At 43.0% G+C, this 27,459-nt stretch overlaps 1 protein-coding gene across 14 annotated transcripts in view, besides 2 other annotated features; it reads left to right on the forward strand.

Annotated features, from left to right (window-relative positions):
- The window catches only part of GRIA1 (glutamate ionotropic receptor AMPA type subunit 1), a 324,255-nt gene extending 297,131 nt beyond the window's left edge, over positions 1-27,124 (forward strand). For 6 of the 14 annotated variants that reach the window (XM_047417128.1, NM_001364166.2, NM_001364167.2 and 3 more), the window contains 3 exons: positions 8,731-8,845; positions 15,611-15,745; positions 24,280-27,124. In XM_047417128.1, the coding sequence (XP_047273084.1) occupies positions 8,731-8,845; positions 15,611-15,745; positions 24,280-24,480 (451 nt within the window). In that variant the 3' untranslated portion in view covers positions 24,481-27,124. Of the gene's footprint in view, positions 1-7,875; positions 8,001-8,730; positions 8,846-15,610; positions 15,746-24,279 lie in introns of those variants that run through there. The other 8 variants (NM_000827.4, NM_001364165.2, NM_001258019.2 and 5 more) reach the window with 4 other exon arrangements.
- Positions 4,503-5,092: an enhancer, noted in NCBI's record as "NANOG hESC enhancer chr5:153170808-153171397 (GRCh37/hg19 assembly coordinates)". NCBI's record gives its function as "activates a minimal SCP1, AML or CMV promoter by ChIP-STARR-seq in primed H9 embryonic stem cells {active_cell/tissue: H9 hESC(primed)}" and the evidence as "EXISTENCE:reporter gene assay evidence [ECO:0000049][PMID:30033119]".
- Positions 10,779-10,828: a silencer, noted in NCBI's record as "silent region_16532". NCBI's record gives its function as "represses an Ori minimal core promoter by ATAC-STARR-seq in GM12878 lymphoblastoid cells {active_cell/tissue: GM12878}" and the evidence as "EXISTENCE:reporter gene assay evidence [ECO:0000049][PMID:35858748]".

A 27,459-nucleotide genomic window follows, 5' to 3' on the forward strand; every position in this document is an offset into this window, starting at 1 on the left:
AAGGGCAGATTCAAGGAAAACATGGGGAGCATTGCAGAGCAACCAGGTCTTAAAAGAGAAGTTAAGGAGAACAGCAAGAAGCAAGCACACAGGAGCAGGCAGAGGCACACTGGTTGAGAAAGTAGGATGCCCAGCAGCCTGGTCTGATTAAATCAGAAATTCCCTCTGTAGGAGGACAAGCAAAGCATATTATCATAGGCTGGGCAGAATTCCAAAGGTCATTTCATCCAACACTCCTCAGACGCTGAAACTCAAGGTTTCGAAGGCAAAAGTGGAAGTGTAGACAATTGCTACAGAATTGAAGCCCAACATTCTGTCCTTTGCCTTTCATAAGTTGAGACAAAATTAAAACCATCTGAAATATCTCCCTTGGCTGCTTTTTTCAAACTTTAATTTCCCTGCAAGTATATGATAATTGAGTTTCTTTAGAGCACAAGGCTGGATATATTGGACCTTAATGTGCACAAGTTCATCCTAGAAATTGTCTTTAGAGTACCAAGTCTTTCCTCCCCAAGAGTTCCAAAACTAATTCAATATTTAGAATGCTCCCCTGGACCTCCCAGTTCCAGTGGCTGAATATCAGGGCTCAGGCATTAGAGGATTCTTTTTGTTCTTTGGCCCTCTTGGGGACTAAATGCCATGTATGTCACCATGTCAGTGACTACAGCCTTGGTTTCATCCCCTGATGACCCACAACCATCATCTCCCTTATGCTGAACATCTCTCTGAATCTTGGAATTTTCAGATGACTCTAACTTTGCCAAATTAGAATCATGCCTGATTCTTTTTTTGTTTGATTGTTTGCTTTATGTTTGTTTACTTTGCTCAGTGCCAAGCACAGGATTTAGCATAAGAAAAGTTCCACTAGAGGTTGTTTATTCAAGTAAGTAATTATTATAGCCATCCGTATATGAATGCTTTACAAAATTTTGGCTGATGGTCCTCGCAGGTCTGTTTTATTAGTCAATTTATAAACTCAAGTTTATGTCTTCAACTTGACCATCTCCTTTGACTTCCAGATTCGCCTCTTCCCACAAAACTGACTCTCCACTTGGACATCTAACAGGCATCTTAAATTTAATGCATCCACTTTGGGAGGCTGAGGTGGGCAGATCACGAGATCAGGAGATCAAGACCATCCTGGCTAACACAGTGAAACCCCGTCTCTACTAAAAATACAAAAAATTAGCCAGGCGTGGTGGCAGGCGCCTGTAGTCCCAGCTACTCGGGAGGCTGAGGCAGGAAAATGGCATGAACCCAGGAGGCGTAGCTTGCAGTGAGCTGAGATCATGCCACTGCACTCCAGCCTGGGCGACAGAGCAAGACTCCTTCTCAAAAAGAAAAAAAAAAAAATTAGTGCATCCAAAGCTGAACTCTTGGGCTTCTCCCAAATCCATCTCTTTTTAGTCTCTCTCATCTCCACAAATGGTCCCTCAGTCTACACAATCTCAAGGGAAAAATCAGCTCGAATCTTTCCTTCAATCCCCCATAACCAATCTATCTCCCTTACTCAAAATGTATCCTGAACGTACAGCCTCTCTTCTTTCCAATCCTTAATTCACTCTTACCTGGGCTCCTCCACTAGCCTTCTCATTGGCTTCCATGTTTCCCCACTTGCCTCCCTTTAGTCCCTTCTCCTCCCTGCATTGGGAGAACTTATTAACTTGGTTTAAAAGGGTCTGTCATTCCCTGGCTAAGACCCTCCAATCTCAGAATAAAATGCTCAATCCTGGCCTGCAGAGTCCCTGCCAGCCTCTCCAACCTCATCTCCCCATAAGAATGTGATCTCTTATCACCCAACCCTCTTCTCTCTCTAGTCTCCGCTTAAATGTCACTTCCTCAGACCCATGTTTCCTGACCACCTCTGACATTTTCTGTCATTTCACCTTTTGTTTCCTTTATAACACTTCACATATTCTCTTATTGCTTGTTTCTCCAATTAGACTGTAAGCCTTACTAGGGCATGAACCATGTTTGTCTTATGCATTAGTACATACCTAGGACCTCTCGTGGTGCTAGCACATAGTAGCTGTTCAGCTATATTCATGGTTATTAAAGAGGGTTTATGGCAAAGTATTATGGTTTCCCACTCAATGTAGATGTCCCTTCTATAAAATCATAACAAATAACCATCTAGTCTCCTTCTGAATGCCTCCTCTCCAAGGGTTTCCTCTTAAGACAGCCAATTCCATTTCCTTTGGCTCTATTGTCATTTCTTTTCCATATTGACTCAAATGTCCTCCATGACTTTTGCCTATTGGTCATAGTTCTCCTCCTTAGGAACCCATAGTATAATTTTCTCTAAATTCTCTAAATTAATCCTTCAGATATTTGAAGACAATTCTTATATTTGCCCTAAATCACACCTGCTTCAATGTTATTCCACACACATGATGGCTCCAGAGGTATCCACATCATTCTGGTAATTGATCTCTTGACACACTCCAGTTTGTTATTGTTTCTTAAAATTGTTGTCTAATAATGAGTGCCAGACTCCAAAGGAGATGGAACAAGTTCATAATGGAAGACCATCACCTTCCTTTGTATGATTCTAATACCTCTTTTGATATTACATATATATATATATATATCTCCTACATATATGATATAAATAAATATATATGTTGTGTATATATATGATAATTTGTATATATATAATTATCAACAGCATCCTGAGCTCGTGAAACTAAAACAATTTCCAAGTCATTTTATCTAGACATTTCTTTAAAATATGTAAGGCCAAACTTAATTAACACTAATCTATGAAGAATATCTAATTAACTGCAGTGGGCAACTGACTTCCACTTTTAGGAGAAAGAAAATAAAGTAATCTCAGGAATCTTTTTTGTTAGTCTGTAAAATCATTTCCAGGTAAAATCTAGAGCTTAATCCATATGTTGTGCCATCTTTTGCTTTTCCACACCTCTGATCCTAGGTAAGTTAGAGCTAACGAGTATTTGCTGAGCTTCTATTATGGGCCCAGCATATGTTATAATTTCTTTTACACATAGGAATCTGAGGCTTAGAGAAGTTTACTGATTTACCTAATGGCACACCATAAGTGCTGGGGCTAAGATTTAAACTCAGGTCTCCTGACTTAATTCAGATGGTCAGCTCGATGGTAATCATAATAATATTGTTGTTGTTGTTGTTGTTGTTATTTATCAACAATAGTAGTAGCTAAGTCATTTCATGAAACAGCTCATTGATAGTCCATTTGATAATTCTGAGTTGGAAATTCTATTATCCCATTTGACAGATGGAGACACTGAAGCTCAGATGGCTGACATAGATTAGCCTAGGGCTAGTTGTAGTTAGTTGCAGTGAGAATTTCCCAGTACCAGGGATTCTTATTCAGAGCAAGGCTAACCCCAGAGATGGTCCCTGATGGCAAGTGGAAAATCTGAAGCCACAGGAGGCAGGTAGGAGGCTAATGCATTTGGAAGAAGTTTATAACAAAAGGAACACTCACTTGCCTGGAATACCCACGTATTCTCTGAAGACATTTTAGTCTTTGAGGTTCATCCCATTCTGTTTTAATTTTTTCGAGACAAAAAATGACCAATCTCTTATTTGCGTATTCAAGCATTCTTAATAAGTCACTAAAACTCTTATTTTTCATAACTCTCCTTTTATTAAAAACCTTGGGGAAGAGAACAAAACATTCCACATTGACCTTAGTGAGTTGTTCCTAGGTAGGCATGATGAAAATGCAAAACTGAACCCCAAATCTAGCCAACTGAAAGACATTGATTTTTCTAGAACAGCACCTTCCAAACACCAGTCTGTGGACCAGTCACTGCTTGCCCAAGACAAAGTTCTCACCAGCGTGAGGTAAAATGAGGAAAATAACAGCAATGTGTCTAAATTCATTCAACCTAAAGACTTCCTTTCATTCTTTATTGTTGTCCTTCCTATTTCTTTGATTATTTGAACATCTTTACTTCTATAAAAGGAAGTTGCCAGCAGATGGTAGTTGTTCTCTTTAAACGTTTCTACTTAGTGAAGTTAACATTTAACACACACCTATGTTGGTCCTCCCACACCCACTTTATTTTTTTCTCATCCGTGAAAACTAGATATCTAGAAACTACTGCTAGGCTAAGGGATAGCTTCTGCTATCCAAGACCCCCAGATTTTCCAAGGTTCCTGGCCTTGGAGCCTTTATATTTTATAAAGGAAATATTTTTTAATCACATTCACATCTTTAACTTTTGTTTTGAACATGTGAAATACAACCTTTTCTGGATAACTCTATCATGATCAATAATCAATGGCATTGGATTAGAATACAGTGAATCTGCTGGAGGGCAAATATCATAGGGCAGTTTTCCAGAACCAGAATCGCCCCCGGGCCACCATTCTTTTAGCAATTCGTTTCTGTCTCCTTAAAAAAAAAGAAGAAGAAGACCAGGAAAGGTGGCTTATGCCTGTATCCTAGCACTTTGGGAGGCCGAGGCAGGAGGATTGCTTGAGGCCAGGAGTTAGAGACCATCCTGGGCAACATAGTGAGACCTCATATCTACCAAAAAAAAAAAAAAATTAATAGAAAAGAAAAGAAAAAACCTGCTTTGGCTCCTTCCTTGTTGTGAAGTTGTGAATTAGCATCTTATGAAATGGCATAAGATGAGGCTTTTCTTATTTGCTGACTTTATTCTGCTTGGGCTTAGAAAATGGAGATTCTTGGGTATTACAACTGTGTGCAAAGTAAAAGTTTAAAAAGGACTGAGTAGTGGGGGGTGGGGAAGGTCTAAGTGAGCCCAGGCAAGGATCACACAGTACCCCACCTGCACTCAGCGTGAAGCACAATGGTTATATGCATGGGCTTTAGTCACACAGAGCTGAGTGACAGCCTGGGGCAAGTTAAGTATTTATCTGTAAAATAGAAGTAGTAAAAATGATAACCAAACAGGGATATAAGGATTAAATGAAATAAAGCACGTAAAGTGCTTAATACAATGCCTGGCCCACAATAGGCCCTCAGTGAAATAAATATTAACTACAACGATCACCTTATATCCCTGTGCATTTTCTTTGCTCACTTTCTGGTCCTTTTCTGTTCTGTTCTAGATAGGTGAGTTTACCAAATAGCTGAGACACATAGGTTATAGATACGTAGGTGATATTGCATTTAGATTTTGGCCATTCATTTGTTCATTTGGAAAAAAAAAAAAAACTACACAGCATTGAGCATGCTGTAATAAATGTTGTACTCCCACACTGCATGGACTATCCCATACTACATGTTTTGGAGAAGGATCTAAAATCACAGAGAACATAGCTCCAGGGAACTAATCATCTGTTTGAGGAGACCCAGCCAACATACCAATGAGCTAGAACAGCACTGTAGCATAAGAGATAAAGTCAAGTCCAGAGAATCTTCCAGAAAGGGGAACATTTTGAGGTGAAATTTAATTAAATGCCTTTTTAGACAGTCCCTTGTTGGACCTGATTGTGAGATCATGAGCCCATCAATGTAGGATATAAATTCCTCGTACCTCACCCATTGTGGGAGATGCTCTGTGAGGACCGTCTACTTTCTCTAAACACTTCTTCACACTATTGACCCCAAACAGGATTATTTGCCTGAGTGGAACAGTGAGGACTTTATTTCTAATACAGAAAAGTGGTCTTATAGTTCACAGCAAAAATGAGAATTAGAACCTTGGGAACCCCAACCTTTGTTCTCTCTTTTAGTTGATCCCTATAGCTTCCCTTGCTGTGCCCAGTTCCCTTTTGTCCCTGCACTGATACCACTTCCTCTCCCACTTTGAGTCTTTCTACATACATTCCCTTAAAACAGAGAAGTAGAGGAGACAAGAGAAGGAAAGGTAACAAAACATAGGCAGTGGCTATCTACTTACCCTAGCATTGAGCCTCTCTCAGGAAAAATACCCTTTGTGTGTTATTCAGGCACAAAGACCATTTTGGCTTGCTTTCTTCCCTTCTTCCTTTCTTTCTTTCTGTCTGTCTTTCTCTCTCTCTCTCCTTTCTTTCTTTCTTTTGAGAGGGAGAGAGTGGAGAGAAGAAGAAACAGAGAGAGAAAGACAGAGAGAGAGAGAGGAGTACTGGCCCATAAAGGTACCTAAAAGACTAAAGAGTGCATTTCTGGGATCTGTTAATGGAAATTGCTTTCCCAGCTTGAAAATTGCCACATTTAAAATCCCAATGTGGGGTAAGCAAAATCATAAATATGAACTCCTTTTCAGACAGCAAACCAGCATTTGGAGTCTCTCTCCTTGCCTTCAGGGATCCATATGCCACAGTCTAGTTAGCTGCCCAGCGACTGACAAGCATAAATAAAAGGTAACGGTTATAGTAATCAGAGCTGCTGTGAGTCAAAAGTGTTTCCCAGGGAGGGATCAACATGCTTCTGATAACACTAGAGTCACCAAATAGCCAAGGTTCAGCTCTTTTAAAAACAAACAAATAATGAAAACAATGAAAATAAAAATGTTTGCTCTGTCAACTGTCTACATTCAGCAGTGGAATGGAACAGGCACCTGGGATTCATAATAGTAAAAGGGTCAGGCCATGGGGAGCAGTCTGGGTTTGATGGCTTCTTTGCCTTCCATCAGTGCTCCTTGCCACCTACCATTGGGGACATCCTCCTTCATCGTATTACTGCCTCATGATGGTCTGTGAACCCATCTCACCTAAGTTAAGTAAACACTGGGCCTCAACTTAAGGTGATACCATCATCAGAGTAATCCTTAGGAGAAAGTAGATAAATAGAAGATGAGGCATGTTATGTCCTGAAAGATGGTCAACTCCTTGTCTAAAGAACTAGGTTAGGTGTTGAAGGATGAGGTGGCAAACTCAGCCAACAAAATTGTTCCAGCCTGTGGCTCATGCACCAATGGGCCCAGCACATAAACCCTTATAAGTCACACTTGAACAGGGTCTCAGAGGGCAAGTGAGGAGTTGTCCATAGAGAAATTTAGATGGACTCCCTTGGCCCTTGCAGATGGCCCTGGATATGTTATATGTACATGTTGTCATTGATGTGGCCAGAAACTCCTGCCTTGGGATTTGCCGAATACTAACTTGACTTATTGGAGCAGGTGTCTGTGGTCCTCCAAAGCTGTCAACTGTTAAGCATGGTGATTCCAACTAAAAGTTTCATGATCCTCACTGCCTTTCTCTTTTAAGCCTAAACAGCAGTCATGTAAATGAAGTAAGATTGTTCTGAAAGCCTCAGGAAAATGACTCAACCATGGCCTTCTGATGAATCTGTTTTCCTCTGTCCTGAAATGTCTGAAGTGTTTAATTACACCTTAATCTGACTCTGTCCTCTTCTACTTCTCAGGTTTTCCTGAAATTTGCCTAATTATTTCTTTATGTGACTTGATTAATAGAATGCCAATCATGTTGTTTTTATATCTCTCTTTCTATGTCTACTGTGATGTGAGAAACACTCAGAGGAATGGGTGAGCCAGGTGCCTTCCCCTGCTCCCTACTTTGCCAAGTTGATAACTCCTTTGACCCTTGAACATTAACCATGAGCACCGATGCCCGTCTTTCATTCAGGCTGTATTAAAGTCCACTTTGCAAAGAAAAGAAAAAAAGAAAGAAAAAGAAATCTATAAAAGCAGACAGGAGGGGAAAACTATTGGGGCCATTGCTTTCAAAATACCCAACTTCTGAAAACTTAGGTTACAATGACGCCTCTCCATAATGGGAGTCAATGATGGAGACTATGCCTTGGCTCCATCCCCCAATTCCTGCAGTGATGTTGGGGGCAGGGCATCCTCAGGTCAAAGGGCAACCTGGCAGGCTGGGTAATGGAGCTGATTCACCGATCCCTTGGGTCACGTGACTTGCTGAGTGTTCTCCACCTGTTACTCATCGAGTGTTATTTATTCGTTTTTAAAGAAATCCAGTAAACCTGGCAGTGTTAAAACTGAACGAGCAGGGGCTTTTGGACAAATTGAAAAACAAATGGTGGTACGACAAGGGCGAGTGCGGCAGCGGGGGAGGTGATTCCAAGGTCAGCCCCAGTAAGAAAAAAAAAAACCTAGTGGGTATGAAATAGCATGGCTGGTAACCAGCAACTGTTCTCCCAATACCTATCCTGCTTCCTAATACTAAAAAGAAAAGATAAATTAATGTCAAAGGGAAGCCCTTTGGTTGAGTAGAAGTAGCATCAAACTATCCTCTACTTCTCTTCCAAGGGGCCTTCTGGTTTACCACAGTTTCCAGTCCCCAGGACCCCAGCATCTGCTCTGGTCCCATAACCAAGATATGAGGACATTGTGCCTGGACCTTCTTTTCCAGAAATGTTCCACCTCCTCCAACTGAGGGCAGGGTCTGTGTGCTACAGGGTGCCCTTTTTTTCAAAGGGCCTGCTCTGGATCCTAGGCATGGAAGCAGATTCTGAGATACACACCAAGGCTGGGTGAGCAGCCAGAGAGCCTGTGGACAGGGAGGGTCCCCAGGCACCCATGGCAGCTGGACTTGGGCCAGTATCTTCAGCAGTAGATGGTAGACGTTGCTGGTTACTCAAAGTGATATAGTGATACTCATCTTGCTATACTAGAGAAAGAACTGTGTGAGTGTGTTGGGCGGGCAGTGACATGGTGGGGCGGGGCCAGATGGAGTATTTTAGAGTATCACTTTGTCAGTGCATATGATCTTGTTCAATGAATGATGTGAATGAATACTGTCTGTGCTGAATAACATAAAATAACATTGGTAATGTTATTTATGTTATTTCCCCCCTGGTTGAAGAGGTCCCGTAAACCTAGCGGTTTTGAAACTCAGTGAGCAAGGCGTCTTAGACAAGCTGAAAAGCAAATGGTGGTACGATAAAGGGGAATGTGGAAGCAAGGACTCCGGAAGTAAGGTCAGTCACCGGCTACAGAGGTCACGCACACCTGTAACAAAAATGCACAGTGTTGAACAGTGTCCTCCGAGCCTCAGAGAGGCTTGGAGGCCTTAGAGAGCTGGGCCCCAGCAGGGCCTTGATGTCCAAGAGTCCAGGCAGGGTTAAAAAGTTTGAATATCAGCACGCCAGTGTTTCCCAACCCCATGGAACCTGATCCTACCCCTTCAAAAGGCTCCATTATCCACTGTGTTCTGAAAAAAATGGAAGCAAACCAGTGAGGAGTTATATGCAAGGCTGTCACCTCATGGCAAGTACTCTTTGCTGTGGGACAGGGCCGTTTAGCACACAACCCAGGATGGTCCTTTTGGCTACCCCTAATTATTTACCCAAAATGATGGTCTGGGTCTTGCTCAGGGATACTGAACTCTTTTTTTTTTTAACTTTTTTTTTTTTTTTTGGACAAGTCAGACATCAAGCAGCTGGCATGATCCCTCACCTTTATTTTAAGGATACCCTTTGGCTTACACATTCAAGGGCCATTGAATTGGCCTCCAAGCAGGGTTCTCCATCCAGGTACAGGTGTGAATTCATGATGAGTTGAAGGAAGAGAGTCTCATGACCTGAACTTGTTACCTCTATCACAAATTCCAGGCTTTAGAGTTGAAAGAGAGCCTGCAGAGGATTTAATCCCACCCTGGCAAAACTTCAAGCATTCACATACCACCTGTGTCGTTATTTGCTTCACGTGTTCCTTTAAAGCTACTATCTTCATTACTACTTTAATCGAGTTCATATAAAAAGTAGCAGCACTACTATCACAAGTAGAAAGTCAGTACTTCTTGCAAAAAAAAGAAGGCAACCATATAAATAACTATAATGACAACAAAAAAATATTAAATTACAGTCACCTTTACAACTGAGGGCTGCTGCTTCTTAAAAAGCGAGAGGAGCAAGTGATCAGTGTTAAAGATGATCAGCACCAAACTGAGATTTTCTTGTTGGCTTTACTCAGAAAGATTAAAAGAGAATTGAAAAGAGAATGACATCCTCACTTTGTAGTCAATGTCATTTACTTCAGTGTATCATCTAACACTGTCTCCCATACCATCCAGAGGTGGGCAACACTCACTGTGTGACTCGCCCAAGATTGCCCAGTGACTCAATGATAAAGCTGGGCATGAATTCATGAACTGAGCTTAGATATCCTGCCCCCACCCCCACCCCCCGGCTTGTTTTATAATATAATGCCACACTGTTTCACCATCAGCAGGGTAAGTCCATCCATTCTGGATGTACTCACTTTCTTTCCCCTACTGTCAGCAAGGCCTGGAAGGCAAAAGGACTGAAAACACACTGTGTACAAGCCCCATCCCTGCCCTCCTCACAGGTAAAGAGCATTGGCCATCTGGAAGGACCTGGGAATTCACACAATGATGCTCTGCTCCGCTTGCTCCTTCCCCTTCCCACTGAATGTTCCTGCACTAAAGAGACCCCAGGAGGGCAATGTCAGAGGGACGTGAGTGGAGAAAGAAAGCCCTTGAGACCAAGAGATGCAGAAGTCATTCCATTACCCCCACGCCCTAGAGACTTTGGGCTCCAGCTATGTTCCTGCTCAGGGTCAGGTTTCCTGATTTCTGTAAGGCACAGTAGGCAACAGCCTGGAGAGAACCAGTGACTTCTAGGTGAATCTTCTGGGAGTTATGTGTGGTCCAAGATAACATGTCCGACATACAACAGTTATCCATATCAGAGACTGAATGTCAAAACACCCTGGATCCTGTCCAAAGTCCCAAAGCCACACATCCTTAAATTTTCTAACACTGCCCTAGAGGAAGGGACTAGACAAAAACAAAAGTGTTTCTTTTAAAACTCTCTTCTGGACCTTGAGCCAGAAACACCTCTGGGGACAATTTCCCAACACACAAGGCCCCTGCTCACCAATGCATAGTCCAAGCACATATTCAACTCAGAGTGAAGGCTTTCTGTGGGGACACCCATGTTACACTCAGACTGATGCTTCTGTTCTGAAAAATACCTCCCCCTTTTGAAGAGGCCTCAGCCTTAGCCAGTCCTTGGGTTCCCCTCTGCAAGCCACATCATCTCCTCAATGCAATTTTGTTTTGAGTCAGGATGTTCTGCGGTGCATTGTACAGCAGCCGGTCCCTGAGCACACACTGCTGAGAAAAGCCACCCCCACAGCCATCACTTTCACAGTATTTGCCTTGCTGATTATTAGAACAATGGGCCAGTTCTCATCCCATGTCGCTCTTGGGGAAAATATGAAGGCTAGGGAACTGGCCTAGATTGGAAATGGAAGAGCAGACGTTACCAATTAACACGAGCTCCTTTTTTGCATTCCCTAAAGGTATTAGTCTCTAGGGAGAATTTTTAAAAGGCATGATCCCAGACCCTCTAGAAACTCCTTAGGTGCCTCAAATGTTTTGGGGGTGGGGACAAGTGTCAAAGGTCATTTGGTCCAGTTCTGTGTTCAGTGCTTGAATTCCTTACATGACCTTGTCATCTTCTTCCTGAATGTGTTCATGTTTGAGGAACTCACCACTTCCTATGGCAGTGCATTCCACCTTTTGACAGCTGTTTATTTAAAAGCTCTCCTTTGGTTGAACCAAATCCACCTCCCCATAATTTTCTCACTTTGGTCTTAGCTAATGAGTGAGCCTAGCCAACCACTCAGCCTTCACTCCCAGGAAGTAGTCAACTGCTCAGGGAAACGGTCCTTAAGCCAAAAATACAAGTTTTGAGAAAGCACAAAAGAAAGCCTACTGTAGCAGAAAAGCTAATGGGTGGACCTTTCTTTGTGGCCCTAAAAGGCTAAGTCAGATTACAGATTCAGCATGTGGAGGGCACGTAGGCTTCCCCTAAAAATCCAGGTGTAAACATAACAGAAAATTGTATGGAACTTAGATAGGATATAGAGAGAAGCAAAACTGCTTTTGCTTTGTACGAGTTTATACTTTCTCCAAGAAGATAAGAAGGAATGAAAGCATTTGGAGAAACTGAAGCTTGGCCTGAAGTTAGCAGGTCTTGATGGCAGGCAACACCAGTCTCAGTGGAAGTCACTGGTCTGACGGCCAAAAGCCTTGGCTTCTCCCTAGAGCTTTCTGCTTATTCCATAAAGAAAGTTTCAAGTCTCTCTACCCTAGGACTAGCTCAGACCTCCTCATGAATCAGCCCTACATTCTTGGAAGGGATGTTGGCTCAGAAGCACAGAGGGAACCTGAGACAGTCCCCCAGTATGTGGAAAGAACAAGGAGAAATATAGGGGGGGAAATCTCCTTTCCATATGAGGGAGACAGCAAATCAAGACAACAGGTTAAGGAGAACAGATGAGTGGGGGGGTTTCATCACCACTCGTCACCATTCGTCACCATAGCAACAAGCCCAGCGATTCTGCAAGACAGGAGTTATATTTTTCTTTTCACCTGTCACTCTTCTTGGTACTGTCACTCTCTTTCCCCACTCCTGGCGGGAGGTGAATTGTGACTTTTCCACCCCCCCCTGACAAGCTGCCTAGCTTTTCTGGTGTGCAGCTGCTATGGAATAGGAGAATGGGGTACCCTGAGGGGTGCTCAGAAGACTCAAACTCCATCTCTCCCCTGTCCCCGATCACAGCTGGGAAGTGTGTAGCTGTGAAATGTGAGTAGCTGTTTATACACAGATCCACGAGGAAGCTGCCTCTTTTATGGACACTGCAGACCAGAGGAACCAGAGCTGTGGTCCTCAAATAAAAGGAATTTTTGTCCCTGCCCCAGGATTTCCCATTTTATTCCCACAGAGTGAGACAAAGAGAGTCAGTAAAGGCAACTAAACAGAAGACCATGGCCTGAGGCCTCCTTAGAAAGACCGTATCAAAAAGCTAATGACACGCTTAAAGGGAATCAGAACATTTTGTGTAAATTGAAACTCCTCAGCTATCTGGACTAAGACTACACCAACACCAGTCCTTCATCCCACATCCTATTAAATAAATCTGAATTTAGGTGGTTGTGTTACCTGTGATATTGGTGGCAATTGGGCCCAGGTTCTCCCTTGATTCCAGAGGTCTTTCCTGATTCCTCTACTACAGAGCTGTGTCAGCATAAACAGTGATCAATGACATTGTGCATCCTTCAAAAGGTGGCAGTTCCTATACCGTCTAGCTGTCCTCTTTGTAAAGGATGTATCCCCCCTCACACACATTGCCATCTCCCTGGGCCGGAGACCTTCTTCTAAAGTGAAGGATGCTCTTCACCTCCAGACATAATCAGTCATTAGGCCCTCCTTCTTTGCCTATATAGAACATGCCTTTCCACCCCCCGTCCATATGAAAATCTCACCCTACTTCCTTCCTAGATATACTGGAAGTGAATGCTCCTCCTTGTAAACCAGGGAGGCAGATACCCTCTTAGGGCCTTTTGAAGATAATAACAGAAAAAGATGCCCATCACTCCCTTGTCCTTGGAGGCTATCCACAACCAAGGTAAACCTCAAGAAGAAAACAGCTTGGTGACCAAAGGGGCAAGGTGTGCTTTGGCTATTGAAAGACTGATCAGCTCATGAAGTCAGCAGCCTCCAGCTTTCTTTTTTACCACCTGCCCTCAGGCCTGTCCCTCTACCTACTCCTTCTGAGCTCCACTGTCAACCACTCTTTACTAAGGTTTGAGCTGATAATACATGCCTCCTAACCCCACCCCTACCCCTGTTTAAACAGAAGAGTTTCATAGGAACTTCTGTGAACTCTAAGTCCCCCAAGGACTCTAAAGCATTACTCTCCAGAGGAAGAAATACATGCCTTCTGAACAACAAACAGGGAGACATTTTGAGTGTTCTAAAAATCATGTGAAGTGGGAATTTACCTGTTCAGCCAACTCTTGAACCAAGCACTGAACTCATTTTTTGCACATTACCCTTATCAGGCCATTATAGAAGAGCAGGAGAAATTTTGCCCCTTTGAGTCCTTTGAATAATCATTTCTACTGCTTCCAAAGCCAGGCTATGCCTTGCCAAGTGTAACCTATATTCAAGAGCCATCTGCTTTAGCAATACAGGAAGCCACCAAGGGGGCATGCTTTAGATAATCCTACAGCTCTGCTGGCCAAAGCTGCTACTGGAAGGGAAGGGATGCTGCTATTTACCAGCTACAGTCCCCAAGCTCAGTCCTGCTGAATCCTGTACAATGCACCAACTAGAACTAGGGCAGAGGCCACTGACTTATTGGTCAATAAGCGATTCCTTTCCATATGCCCCGATTCTAATAGGCAGACGTCAGTCGAAGAGTCTCTAGGGCAATACGGTCCACCCCTTGCATGGCTCACCTACTTCCCCACCTGAAAAGGAACACATGGAGAGGTATAAAGGCCACATCCTATCCTATGCCACCAACTAGCCAACGATGGTGTGTACCTGTGCCAATTGAGGCATTTCATTTTAATTCAATGAGACATTTATTGTACATGAACAAACAATATAAACAAAGGTGTTAGAGCTGCCATGACATCTAGGAATGAGTATTCTCCTAGTAGTTAAAGATGTTCTTTTGCCTGTGTCAAGAGTTTGACTGAGCAACTTGCTGCGCTTCCTGAGCCATTACCTCTCACCATGACCATCAGTTGTGTTTGATTGTTCTCACCACTTGGGAAGGTGTTGTCCCTCAGACCTTCACTTTTGAACTCCACTGGAGGTGACAGAACTCAGGGATGATCTCAGGAGACCAGTGGCCTTCCTCTGGCTCCACAGGGTGAGCCCTGGCCACCTCCCACCATGACCATCAGTTGTGTTTGATTGTTCTCACCACTTGGGAAGGTGTTGTCCCTCAGACCTTCACTTTTGAACTCCACTGGAGGTGACAGAACTCAGGGATGATCTCAGGAGACCAGTGGCCTTCCTCTGGCTCCACAGGGTGAGCCCTGGCCACCTCCCACTAGACATGAGTACTTGTCTTCAGACTCCTAGGAATGAAGCACCCTTTTCTGTGACCCTGCTCATCCCAAACCAGTGTAAGATCTTTTATCTCAGGCAACAGATATTTCTAAATTCAGCCACCTGGGTCTGCCTCCAGTGTTTTTAGCAAGCACCTCCAACAGAAAAATGATATCAATTAAGCATAATTATTAAGATTTAATAGAGCCATTTTTCTATCTCAGAGCCTTTTTACTATTCTAAGCCCCCTAGTTTTTCTTCCCCCTAAATTGGCACTCAGAGCAGTAAGTTAACATATATATCAGTTGGTCTTTATTATATATACAATAACTGTCTTATTAAATTGAAATCGAATGCACATCTAGGGGAAAGTTCATTGTAAGTACCAACTCTCAGAAAAATGCTCGGGGACATAAACAATGAGTGAGGCCAATGGGTTACCAAGCAACAGAGGAAATTGGGGCGGGGGGGGGCGGGGGGCAGGAATGGAGCTGAAAAGGAAGGGACATGGTTTTTTGAAAGAATGGGCTAAGCTCAAAGGTGCAAATTTTGGTAGAAGCTGCCCTAAATTTCTTGTGATATCTCTCACCCTAGAAAAGGCATTGAGGAGTGGGGAATTGTAATTACAAGTTCAACATAGTCAGGGAGGCTTGGAAAATGTATAAATACATATACACACACACTTTTTTCCTGGGGAATGTTTAACACTTGGTCAATGAATAAATAGCCTATCCAGCTATTGCAAATGTTAAAGAGGGTGTGGGGTTGTGTGTATGTGTGAAAATATGCTGCTGCTTGGATGGTCTTTAGCCTCTTGACTCACTTTATTCTTCCCCCTCCCCTTCCTTTCCCTCCTCCTCTTCTTAGGACAAGACAAGCGCTCTGAGCCTCAGCAATGTGGCAGGCGTGTTCTACATCCTGATCGGAGGACTTGGACTAGCCATGCTGGTTGCCTTAATCGAGTTCTGCTACAAATCCCGTAGTGAATCCAAGCGGATGAAGGTGGCATCGTCTTCCCGGGCCTTTTTCCTAACCTGTTCTGTGATGCAGCTGGGTTTCCTGGGAGTCCCTTTGCTAGAAAGGGTGGGGAATGACAGGTGGTTGAGGTCAGCACAAGACAGGAAGCAGGAAGCTGTTACGAGGAAGGTGACGGGGACAAAGGCAGCCATGAGAAAGGAAGGAAGATGGGGTGTGTCAGGCCAGACACAAGGCCCAAGAAAAAAATTGCATTTGCCAGAGTGGGGTCAGTGAGATTGAAGGCTAGTGGTTTACATGGATAGGTAGCGCAGCGAGAGGCAAGAGTGATGGCTACCAAGGCTCATTCTCTCTGAAGTTTCATCAGAAGTGTGGCTGCAAAAGAGAGGAAAGGATGTCTACCCTCTACTCTGTGCTGACCTTGTCATACCTGGTGAATTGGGTCTTTTCTTAGGCTCCACTCTAAGAAATAGACATTGACAAAGAGGACCATGTGCAGAGAAAGGTAAGCAGATTAGTGAGATGACCCCAAACCACATCAAATGTAGCTAACGGGAACTGGAGAAGAGAACTGTGGAGGATTTAAGAGCTGTCTGTAAAATACCAATATTTTCCAAGTGGAAAAAGAAAACAGGCTAGTTCTATGGAGTCCCAAAGTATACAACAAGAACAGATGACTAAAGGTGATAGAGGATAAATGTTAACACGATACACTAAATTTACTTTTCTAAAAGAGCTATCTAAAGAAAGGCTAGAATATCCCAAAAAGTAGCAAGCTTCAACATCACTGAAGGTATACAAGTAGAGGATGAATAACTCTTGACAAGAATATGGATTCAAGCATCAAAAGGCAGTTTGGATTAAATGATCTTCAAGGCCCCTCAACATTTAGCTTCAGTAAGAAATTATTTGTGGAAGTTAATCATGTGAACAATACCATGATCAAGGCATCATGAGGACTCAGAGAGGAGGGAGGTGCATTCTATGATCTCCAGCACCTTTCACCTTCCACAAAGAATGGGCACAAAATAATTACTCAGTGAGGCAATCTATGGCATAGATAGGAAGGCCTACAGGAATTTAGAGAAGAAAGATTGAAGAAGGCTTCCAGGAAGATGCCAAAATTCAGAAGGACAGGTGGGATCTAGATAGAGAAGGGGAAAGAAGTACAGTCCCTCTGGGCAATGCAGCCATGGTGATATGCTGACCTATACTGTTACCTTGATTTGACAAGACTAACAAGATCCCTTGGTAGAATTTGCTTTATTAGATTGTACCCTAAGAAGCCTACTTTTCAACAGACATTTGCCTCCAAGCTCAGTATGCCCACTCTTGGATCCATACATAGCCTCCTGCCCAGCCTCTCCCTGCCTTGGACCCTCAATCCTACACACACCTCCGGGGTCGCCCTTGGAGAAGATATCTCTGAACATTTGCTCATTCTGTTTAGAAATTCTGTATTTAGTTCTGTACATGAGGAGCTGGGGGCCTTCTGTCCTGGCATTCAGCATTTCCCTGTCAGCCTACCTACCCCACTCCCACCCTAGCAATCTGCTCTCCTCACGTACTCCATACTTTCGCCCCCACCTCATGTTCCCACTCATGTGCCTTTTTATGGGCCGATCCCTCACCCTGTCTTCTGTTTCATAGAGCCCATTTAAAAGGCAACTTCTCCAAGACACAACAAGGAACAATTAAGGAATGGAAGTTCAATGACATTTCACCAGGGACCTAGGAACACCCCAATCCTACTCTTGACCAGCTCATCCATCTCCAGGTCCCTCTCATGTCCTCTCAAATGACAAGAACTACAAAGGCATGGGCTTCAGACTCTAAACCCAATGTAGACCTCCAAGGAGCTTGGCTACACACACAAGGACTCCTAGAACCTACTCAAAGCTCTTTGACCATTCCATTCAAAACACAGGACTAAAGACTCTCCTACCTTACCCTCCAAAATGAGGAAAGGTTACTCCGGTGGCAAAAAAGGGGAACAGGACAAGAACTAGGGGAGCTACAACCTGTACCATCCCTCAAAACCTTCTCTATAGACCATGACTCAAGCCAGAGGCCCAGAGTTGGCCCAGTACAGATTATAAGGAGTTCCTTTCTTCTCATTGCTTGTCTAAGACACAGTACAGCATCATCATCTAGAGTAGAAGCTCTGGAGAATGAACGTCTGGGCATAAATTCTATCTTCTCCATTTGTTAACTATGTCATCTTAGGTTTTAGTAACTCTCTGATCCTTATTAATTAATTAATTAATTAATTTATTTATTTATTTATTTATTTATTTATTTATTTTGAGACAGAGTCTTGCTCTGTTGGCCAGGCTGGAGTGCAGTGGCATGATCTCAGCTCACTGCAACCTCCATCTCCTGGGCTCAAGCAATTCTCTTGCCTCACCCTCCCGAGTAGCTGGGATTAGAGGCGTGTGCCACCACACCTGGCTAATTTTTGTATTTTTAGCACAGATGGGGTTTCACCATGTTGACCGGGCTGGTCTCAAACTCCTGACCTCAGATAATCCACCCACCTCGGCCTTCCAAAGTGCTGGGATTACAGGCGTGAGCCACCACACCAGGCCTCTGATCCTCATTTTCTATAAAATGGAGGCAGTGGTAGTACATACCTCATAACATTGTTGTAAGGATTGTATGAAATAATGGATTATAAAGAGCTTGGCAAAATTCCTGGGCCCCAGTAAGCCCTCAGTAAATAATAATGACAATGATAACTAGTATTTCAAATAATAGTTGTTACTAGTGGCCAGATACATCCTCCTTAAAACTTTCCTTTTATTATCCCTATTTACATGAGCTAGGGTTCTTAAGCTATATAGATTGTGAGTTCCTTAAGGTAAGGGGTTGTGTGGACATCCCACACACTGAGAGTAAGTATTAGTAAAATTAATGTGAAATTGTATCCAAAGGAGAAAATCTCTTACAGGATGAGGCAGGGCATGGGAGGGAGCTGCTCTTAGTTAAAGCAAGTATTGCCGTCAAAACCACCCAGTCTAGGAATTACAAACAATATCATCCAAGGGGCAGTTTTGGCCCCATGTTTGTGCTCATGAACTATGACGAGACCAGTCATCCACCAAGCAGGAAAGCTCCTGGACATCCAGCCCTTTCTCTGGGATTACAGTGACTCCCAATAATCATAACCAGTGCCAGGTGGTGGTGCCAGAGTGGCTAATGCCTGGGATCCTCTTAAAACTGGGACCATGTTGACCTTCACTGAAGTCACACTATTTAGATTAAAATGAGAATCTTTCAAAGAGGCCACTGAGTCATGGCATAGCTTCTTGGGGACATTCTCACCCTTCCCTTTACAATGAAGATGTTAAATTTTTCAGAAGCCAACATCAGGGTCTCTTGGAATCATTAATATAATGTCTTCCACCACAATCTTCTAGAATTAATTCCGTTGATTGGTGTGACTTCTACCCAACTCACTGAGGCTCCTAATAGAATTTCCCATCTTCCAACTGCAGAAAAGGTACTTTCTTTATTAATCAACCCAGCCTTAATTGTTGATGCTCCATCAACTCCTCTCTTATCCGAAAGAGATAAGACAAATGCATTCAACTTGCCTCTCAGACTTTTCAGCTTTGCAGCTCTCTTTATTTTTCTGTGCTTAGCTTTCTCCAAAAGCAATTAGTTCTTTTCAGAAGTGCAGCCCCCAACCTTACAGAGACCCAAATTGGTGATGACATGGGCATTTGATGAGAGCTTTCCCTCTCATTTCTTTCCATTATCACAGTATTTGGTCCACTCTTTTTTTTCTTTATTTTTTCATTTTATTTTATTTTATTTTGAGACGGAGTCTCACCCTGTTGTCCAGGCTGGAGTTCAGTGGTGCAATCTCGGCTCACTGCAACCTCTGCCTCCCAGGTTCAAGTGATTCTCCTACCTCAGCCTCCCGAGTAGCTGGGACTACAGTCACGTGCCACTACACCTGGCTAATTTTTTGTATTTTTAGTAGAGATGGGGTTTCACCATGTTAGCCAGGATGGTCTCGATCTCCTGACTTCGTGATCCACTGCCTTGACTTCCCAAAGTGTTGGGACCACAGGCATGAGCCACCACGCCCCGCCCTTGGCCCACTCTTAAGGCCTTAACCCCCTAAACTCGTTCAGGGTCATCTTCTCATGTGGCTCAACAGTGCTTAAAAACATCTTCCTCACTCTTCATGGATGAAAGAACGAGAGGAAGAGGGGCAGAAAAGAGAAAGAAGGGTGGAGGAGAGAGAGAGATGAAAGGAAGCGAAGAAGGAAAGATGATTTTTCAGTAACTTTTATGTTCAAAGTGATTTCTACACATTTTCATTAACCATGCAATAAGTTGTTCTTACAATCCTACAGATGAAATAAAGGTTCAAAGAAGCTAAGTAGCTTTTCCTGACTAGGTCACACAAGCTAGAAACTAAAAAACCAGGAATTAGAACTCCAACATGGTCTCCACAAAGCCTGGGCTTTTGGTACTAGCCAAGCCACTTTTCCTAAATCTCTCTGTCCTCCTTCAACCACATGGCAACGGATCATTTTTGAGCACCTATTCTCTGTTCTTCCAGTCCCAGCCACAGTGCTGCTCACAAAGACAAATAAAATGTAGCTCTACCCTTCAGTTCCCCTCATCTGACTGACTATAGTATTTAAACCCTTGCTGGGTGTTGATGGGTCTCTTTCCCCTTTGACATGTCGATGAGCAGGACAAGTGTCACAGAGATAGTGGGAAGGCACCCTACAGGCATCCCTTCCACAAAGACATACTGAGCACCACTGCGTGCTGGGCAAGGCTTGGCACTGGGGATACAGTCAAGAACAAAACAGACACTGCTTCTTTTCTCAAGAAGCTCAGAGTTTGATGGGGAAGACAGAACATAAGCAAACACTTGCATGTTCAATGAGTGTTAGTGAAAAAAATGCCCAGTGCTGTCAAGTATAGAGCAGAGGCCTGTCCTGATAAAAGAATGGGTCAGTCAGAGCAGCTTCCCTGAGAAACTGATATTTAACAGATTCAAAGCATGAAAAGAATTAAGCAGGAAAATGAATTGCCAGCCATACACAAGTGTCAGAGACCCAAAGATGTGAACTCTTGCCCAGAAAGGGGAAGAAGGCCAAGGAGACTGGGACACAGACTGAGGGAAAAGGGTGATATGTGAGAGTGGGAGACTCAGAGAGGGACTTCAGGCAGCTCATAACATTTCGGTCTAATTCAAATTGTCATACAACAGCAGAAAATACATAACCTAAGACACATTGCAAATTGAATAAAATCTCAGGTCCCCTGCCCCTCCCCTCTGCCTGGGCAAACAGACTGGCTCCTGAATCCTTAGCTGATATTAAGAGCAGCAAAGTATTATTCACCACCTCATTCCCAAAGGAAAATAATCCCCAGCCTCTCTCACCCCCACTAGAGATGCTGACCTTTCAAAATTATATACGGCTGTGCTAACATAGGGCATGTTTAAGCTACAGCAATTGAGGGCTTGCACATTTTCCTGGAATTAATGAACAGCTGAGAGACTTGATAACTCAAGGGGAGCATCCTCCACAGCAGGTGGTCACTGGTGCTTTGCACGCCTGCCTGAGCAAAGACATTACTGAAGTTTAAGCTTTGATTAGGATATTCTATGTGCAGAGGCTGAGCACTCTCTTCTTAGAAAAGCAAGTGGCTGAGAAGTTAGGATGCAATCACTGTTAGGGAAATAAGGTCCCAAAGGGCCAATTTTAGGGTCTGTAAGTTGGATTTTTTACTCATCCCTTTGTCTCTGAATATCAGTTCCAAAAACACCACCACCACCCTCAAGGATGAACTTTAAGAATGGCTGGCATGTCAAGGAGGGATAAGGGAAAGCCACATTCCCAAAGGCTAGGGGAGAAGTGACAGCAGTTTATGACAGTTTAGCCACGACGGGGGGCGGGGAGTGGGGGGGAGTAGGAAGAATCACATTTAGAAGGTCATTCATCTTGTCACTAGGTCACATATAACTGTTACCTTAAACAAGTCAGTCATTGTCATCAGGTTGTCTGTAAAGTAAAAGAACAAATTAGATCATGTGGTTCAACTTTGCTTGCATTTTTGAATCACCTGGGGAGCTTTTAAAACTCCAGATGTCAAGGCCATACACCACACCAGCATCTCTAGGATAGGATTCAGGCATCAGGGTTTTTTCCCCAAAACTCCCTGGATGGTTCCAATGTGCAACCAAGTTTCAGAACTAGTGATGTAGTTGACATTAAGCATTGCTTTCCACTGCAAAGTTTGGGCTCCATTTATCATTTCTCCTGACTTTCATAAATGTATTCAAAAAGAAGCCAGTGAGAAGGTAGTAACCATCCATGATAAGGGTATGGAGTCATTGACTTTGAGAAGTGCTCAGCTTCCTTGAATACCAACTCTAATGATGTGACCTTCGAGATTTTTAGTTACATGCCTGGCTAAATTATCTCAGACTTTGGCAAGCACCAATGTTGACTAGGTTATCAATCTTGTCCTTTAAGACAAATTCAGGAAGTACCAACAACTTCAATGGAATATTATGAAAATATGTGAGCCTTATGAGGAACAAAGTCCAGGGTGATCTGTGTAAACTTTAGTGGTCTTTTTTCCTTAATTAAAGGGATGTGGCAGAGAAAAATCATGAATGATAGACATTCCAAGCTAATCTATAGAAGTTTCCATATTTCCCACAGATATAAATAAAATGTTATTTTCTCTTCAACATTTTTAGGTGAGGATAAGTAACCATTAATTTATCATATTTTCATTTTACATTTCCCTGGTGTAGCTTCAAGGTAGTATTTATTTGGCCTTTGACTTAGAAGAATGCAATCCAGGTCACACTTTTTCTTCAATGGAAGACAGCCAAGGGAGAATGTAAATAAATCAAGTCATGGGTTTGAGGAGGAGACAGAACCAGTGTGGGTGGTGCATCATATGGGGCAAATCTGTCTGAATCATGGATTTTAAAAAGAACATTTTAAAACATTGTCAGAACTGCCAGTAATACAAGGATAGCAGGGGAAAAAAATGGGTCAAAACTGCCCTGTTTATCTCTGTCTGGCCACAGAAGGTTGACTGATTTCTCTGGTCACTAGAATAATGGCAATATGTCAGAGAGGAAGTCATAGACTTTTTGAGATGGATCCTAGGTGGTTGGTGTTTCTTAGACAAATTCAAAAGCATCATTATGCATCTAATTTCTTACTGGACACTCTGTGGGATAGCTGAGGATTGAGAAGACATGGCCCTTGCCCTCCTCCAGAAAGCTGTCTTACAGAAGACAAAACTTATACACTGGAGGCAGAACCATTACAAGAGAATGTATACTGCACGAGTACAAGATGAGAGGAGCCAGCACTTACAGCAGGCTGGTGTAGTCTAGGAAGGCTTCAAGACGACAGTGAGAACAGAACGCACCTTGAAGAAGAGGTAGGGTTGGTCCCATTGACAATTCTTTATATTGATTCCCACCAAGAAACCAAACCCCACCTCAAAAATTCTGTGATTGTTTCTTAATGGAAAGTTTGAGATGGACAGTAAAATATAAGAGTCTGGATTTCCTATCATCAATGGTCTTTCTCCAAAGGAACGCTCAACAGAACGCTTCCTCTTGTCTAAGACGATATGGTTCTAGACCTTTTCTGTGGTCTTGAATATCCCACTTAACTCATCTGATTCTGGGGTGATCCTTGGAGTCCTTTTCAGACCTAGAATTCCAACATTCTAGAAGTCACAAGCTTAGTGGCACTGATCTGATATGTCAGTCTGGAAGTACAGGGTCTACATGCTGATGGGAAGCAGTTGACACACAGATGATAATCTTTGGAATGCATTCTCATTTTCTTTAGCACATGTTCCTTTCCAATTAGATTTTGCATATTGTATTATTCAAACGAGTCCTACATTCCCTTAACACATGCCGCTATAGAGGTAGGCTAGAATTTTTTCTGAAGTAAATCAGAGGTAGTTTTCCATTTTAACCAAACAATATCACATCCTCAATTTATTTGAACATTTCAAAGCATTTTTCATGCGGTAGCACCATTCTTGCTATAATAACAGTGTGTAGGTGCATAGATAATCATGTCATAGACATGGAGGTTTAAAAGTTCTAGAACACTAAGGAGATATGTACAGTCACATGACTAATTAATGTCATAACCAGAACTAGAATCCAAGTTTCCAAACCCCTTTCCCGGAAGGTTTTCCACTTAGTTGTGTTGCTACATCACACATTAATCAATAATACCAAGGAAATATTCCACCTTTAGAAATCACAGAATGTAAGAATAAGAAAGGATCTTCTGTCTCACCCAATCTAACACACTTCATTGAACATTCAACTTGAGGCTAAGAGAGGGGATCAGACATGTCCAGAGCCAAGTGATAGTTTTCTGTGTTCCTGAGAAGTCAGAATTAGCGTTGTAGAATAGGAAAGGGGGTGGATGGGAAAGCAGAGTTGGATTTACATTTGAAGTCCAGTCTTGACTCATTCCCATTGCCTGTCATTGCCAAGGACCCGGGGAAGAACCCCCGGTCCTCCTGAAAAGGGTTTTTGTTTGATCCCACAGCAATCCATCAACGAAGCCATACGGACATCGACCCTCCCCCGCAACAGCGGGGCAGGAGCCAGCAGCGGCGGCAGTGGAGAGAATGGTCGGGTGGTCAGCCATGACTTCCCCAAGTCCATGCAATCGATTCCTTGCATGAGCCACAGTTCAGGGATGCCCTTGGGAGCCACGGGATTGTAACTGGAGCAGATGGAGACCCCTTGGGGAGCAGGCTCGGGCTCCCCAGCCCCATCCCAAACCCTTCAGTGCCAAAAACAACAACAAAATGAAACGCAACCACCACCAACCACTGCGACCACAAGAAGGATGATTCAACAGGTTTTCCTGAAGAATTGAAAAACCATTTTGCTGTCCCTTTTCCTTTTTTGATGTTCTTTCACCCTTTTCTGTTTGCTAAGTGAGGATGAAAAAATAACACTGTACTGCAATAAGGGGAGAGTAACCCTGTCTAATGAAACCTGTGTCTCTGAGAGTAGAGTCACTGGAACACTAATGAGGAAACTGCACTGTTTTATTTTAATTCAGTTGTTAGTGTGTCTTAGTGTGTGCAATTTTTTTTCTTACTAATATCCATGGTTTGCAGGTTCTGTTAGGCCCTTTCCTTCTCCTTACTTCTTATCCCCAACTCCCTACCCACCCCTCTTCAGTTTTCAGATTGGAGATTCAAGATTTGTTCCACTTTACAAGCAAGAGGAAAAAAAAGCAACCTTCAAACTAATTCTCCATGGGGGCTCTCCATGTTACCCTCCACTCCTTGGCCCAAACCTCTGATGGAGATAGACATTGTTGGAGAAGTGGGCTGCCTTCCCCAAGTGGGGCACTGCTTAAGCACTTATTCAGTGGAGAACACAGGTGAAAAGCAACTCAGGATGAGGGTGGTGGAGAGGGCAGGGGCAGATGTGCAGTCAGAGAAGGACTCCTGAAGTTACTGCTGCTCAGAAAAACAGTTCCTTTAATGTGGAAGAGCCATTTCATAGGTCATAGGTGGTATGGTATATTTCTTCAGAGTCAACCTTGGCCCTGAGAAGTATGTCCTCCTGGTGTGCTCAGGCTCAACGGCAGTCTGGTGGCTGAAGGCACTTGGCCTCCTAAACCAAGCAGAATTTTGGGAAGAGATAACAGCCAGGGAGATATTGCCCATGATTCTCACTTTTTCTTTGCCTGGCATCTAAGCAGGAACCCATTGTGGAGTAGACTCTCTTCTTCTATGGAGCCTCTGACATGGGGAGCAATGCTAAGCAAGCTAAGTGTAAAAGAAAAGTGACAGAATAATTTTGGAAGAGGAAGCCTCATCAAAAGCTCACACAAAATAGAGCTTCCCATGGTGTGCCCTATCCTAGGTTTAAGAAAACACGTATGAAGTTTATGCTGATGCAAAGAACTTGGGTTTTTATGTTAATATAAAGTGTTGTTTTAGCATGTGGCCAGATGATGCTCTGTCATCTTTAGAAAGTGAGATAACCAAGGAAATAATTGAAGGAGTATAGGGAGATGGATTAAGTTGATAATGACATTTAGGGCAACTTAAGACCTTTGATCCCAGGTTCTAACTCAAAGAGGCTGACCTTCCCCCAGCTAAGATAGCATGAGGACGTTGTATTCCAATATACGTATGATTGGGGCTACAAAGCTGAACTAAAGCAAGATTGGTGAAGTGGCAGGGTTTATAGAGAGAAGCCCAGGCTGAGTTCAGCTTTTGTTGGAAGTGAGAATCCCTGACATATAGCTTTCTTGGAGATCCCAACTCTCATTCTTGGTGCAACTGGCTTCCAGCTCTCCAGCAGTCACTCTCCTAGGTGCATGATTCAGTGCGTGCCATGTGTCATTAGCTTTTACTGATAACCATATTCTGGCTTGTTCCCTTACCCCCTACTTCTATCCAATTTTCTCTGCTAGGGGTTATCATTAGCAATTGACATGCTAAAGGTTTTGGAGCCCACCTAGGGGTAGGTGCAGCTTTATTGGCTTTTCTGTGGATTCTCTCAGTGGACCCACACCATCTCTATGTCTCTCCACTCTCCTGCCTTCAGCCATAGCAAAGAATCCTTCCAAAATCAAACTCTTCACTTTTTTGACTCAAGTGTTGTTGTTCAGTCTCTCGCGTGTCAATGTGGTCATGGTTCATGAAACCGGACCCTCAAGATGGATGATTGCTTTTAACTACTGCCAGCTGATGTCTCTCAGCCCCTGCCCTCATACAAGATTTTTCTCAGCCTTCAGCCTACCACTGCAGAATCCGATGTGACCCACCATTAGGGAGTCTGCATCTTGGAAGAGTTGGAAATAACCCTTTAACATCAACATGCTTCAAAGACTTTTTGCCTTTGGCCTAGTAAGATGCCTCTCCAGCTACTGAGCCCACAAGTAACATGAGCGGATAAAAAGAGACTTGTTTGTGCTAGAAATGAGGGTCTATGCTATGAGGGGGTCCAAGACTCTGGCGAAATGTGCTTTTTCATCAATGGAGAAATGAAAGGAAAACACAAGCAAGAAAAAAGTTAACTTGTATTATGTATTTTTACTACACTTTTCTTAAAAATAGAGCATTGGGAAAACTCTGAAAGAGACTGACATTTTTCTCAACAGGAATCCATACTTAACAGTTCTGGCTTTCATTAAATTTTGCTCTTTGGTACCTGGGCCTTTTATTTAACATCTATATTTGTTTTAACTCTCTTGGCAGATGTGTGAAAGGATTCTTGCTTGATCAAACACTAAGTATTTTTTTGGTTCTTGTTTTTCTTTCAAATAGCCAGGTTTTTTTCTTTTGGTATTTGCATAAAATGAAAATATCACCGAATATTAAATCACTGTGGATCCATTATCTACTTTTCATATTTGTCCATTCCATTTTTGTGCCATTTCTGAAGCCGGGGCTCTAGAGATTATTTCCTTATGGCAGAGCCTAAGACTAGTAGGTTTTTAACTGTGACCACTGTTTCTAACTCACAAACAGCTCTCGAGTCATTTCAGCTGAACTAGAACATTGTGAGTTATTCATCCAAATAGGATAACCACAACAATTACAAAAGACAAACGGTGGTATTTGGCTTCCAGGAGCTACAATTCCAATTGCATAAAAACCAGGGCTTGACTTGCAGCCATCACAGTACCTCTAGGGAACTGGATAGTTCACATGGAATGTCTCCCAGACATCCC

The sequence above is a fragment of the Homo sapiens genome, chromosome 5, assembly GCF_000001405.40.
Source record: "Homo sapiens chromosome 5, GRCh38.p14 Primary Assembly".
Taxonomy (NCBI): domain Eukaryota; kingdom Metazoa; phylum Chordata; class Mammalia; order Primates; family Hominidae; genus Homo; species Homo sapiens.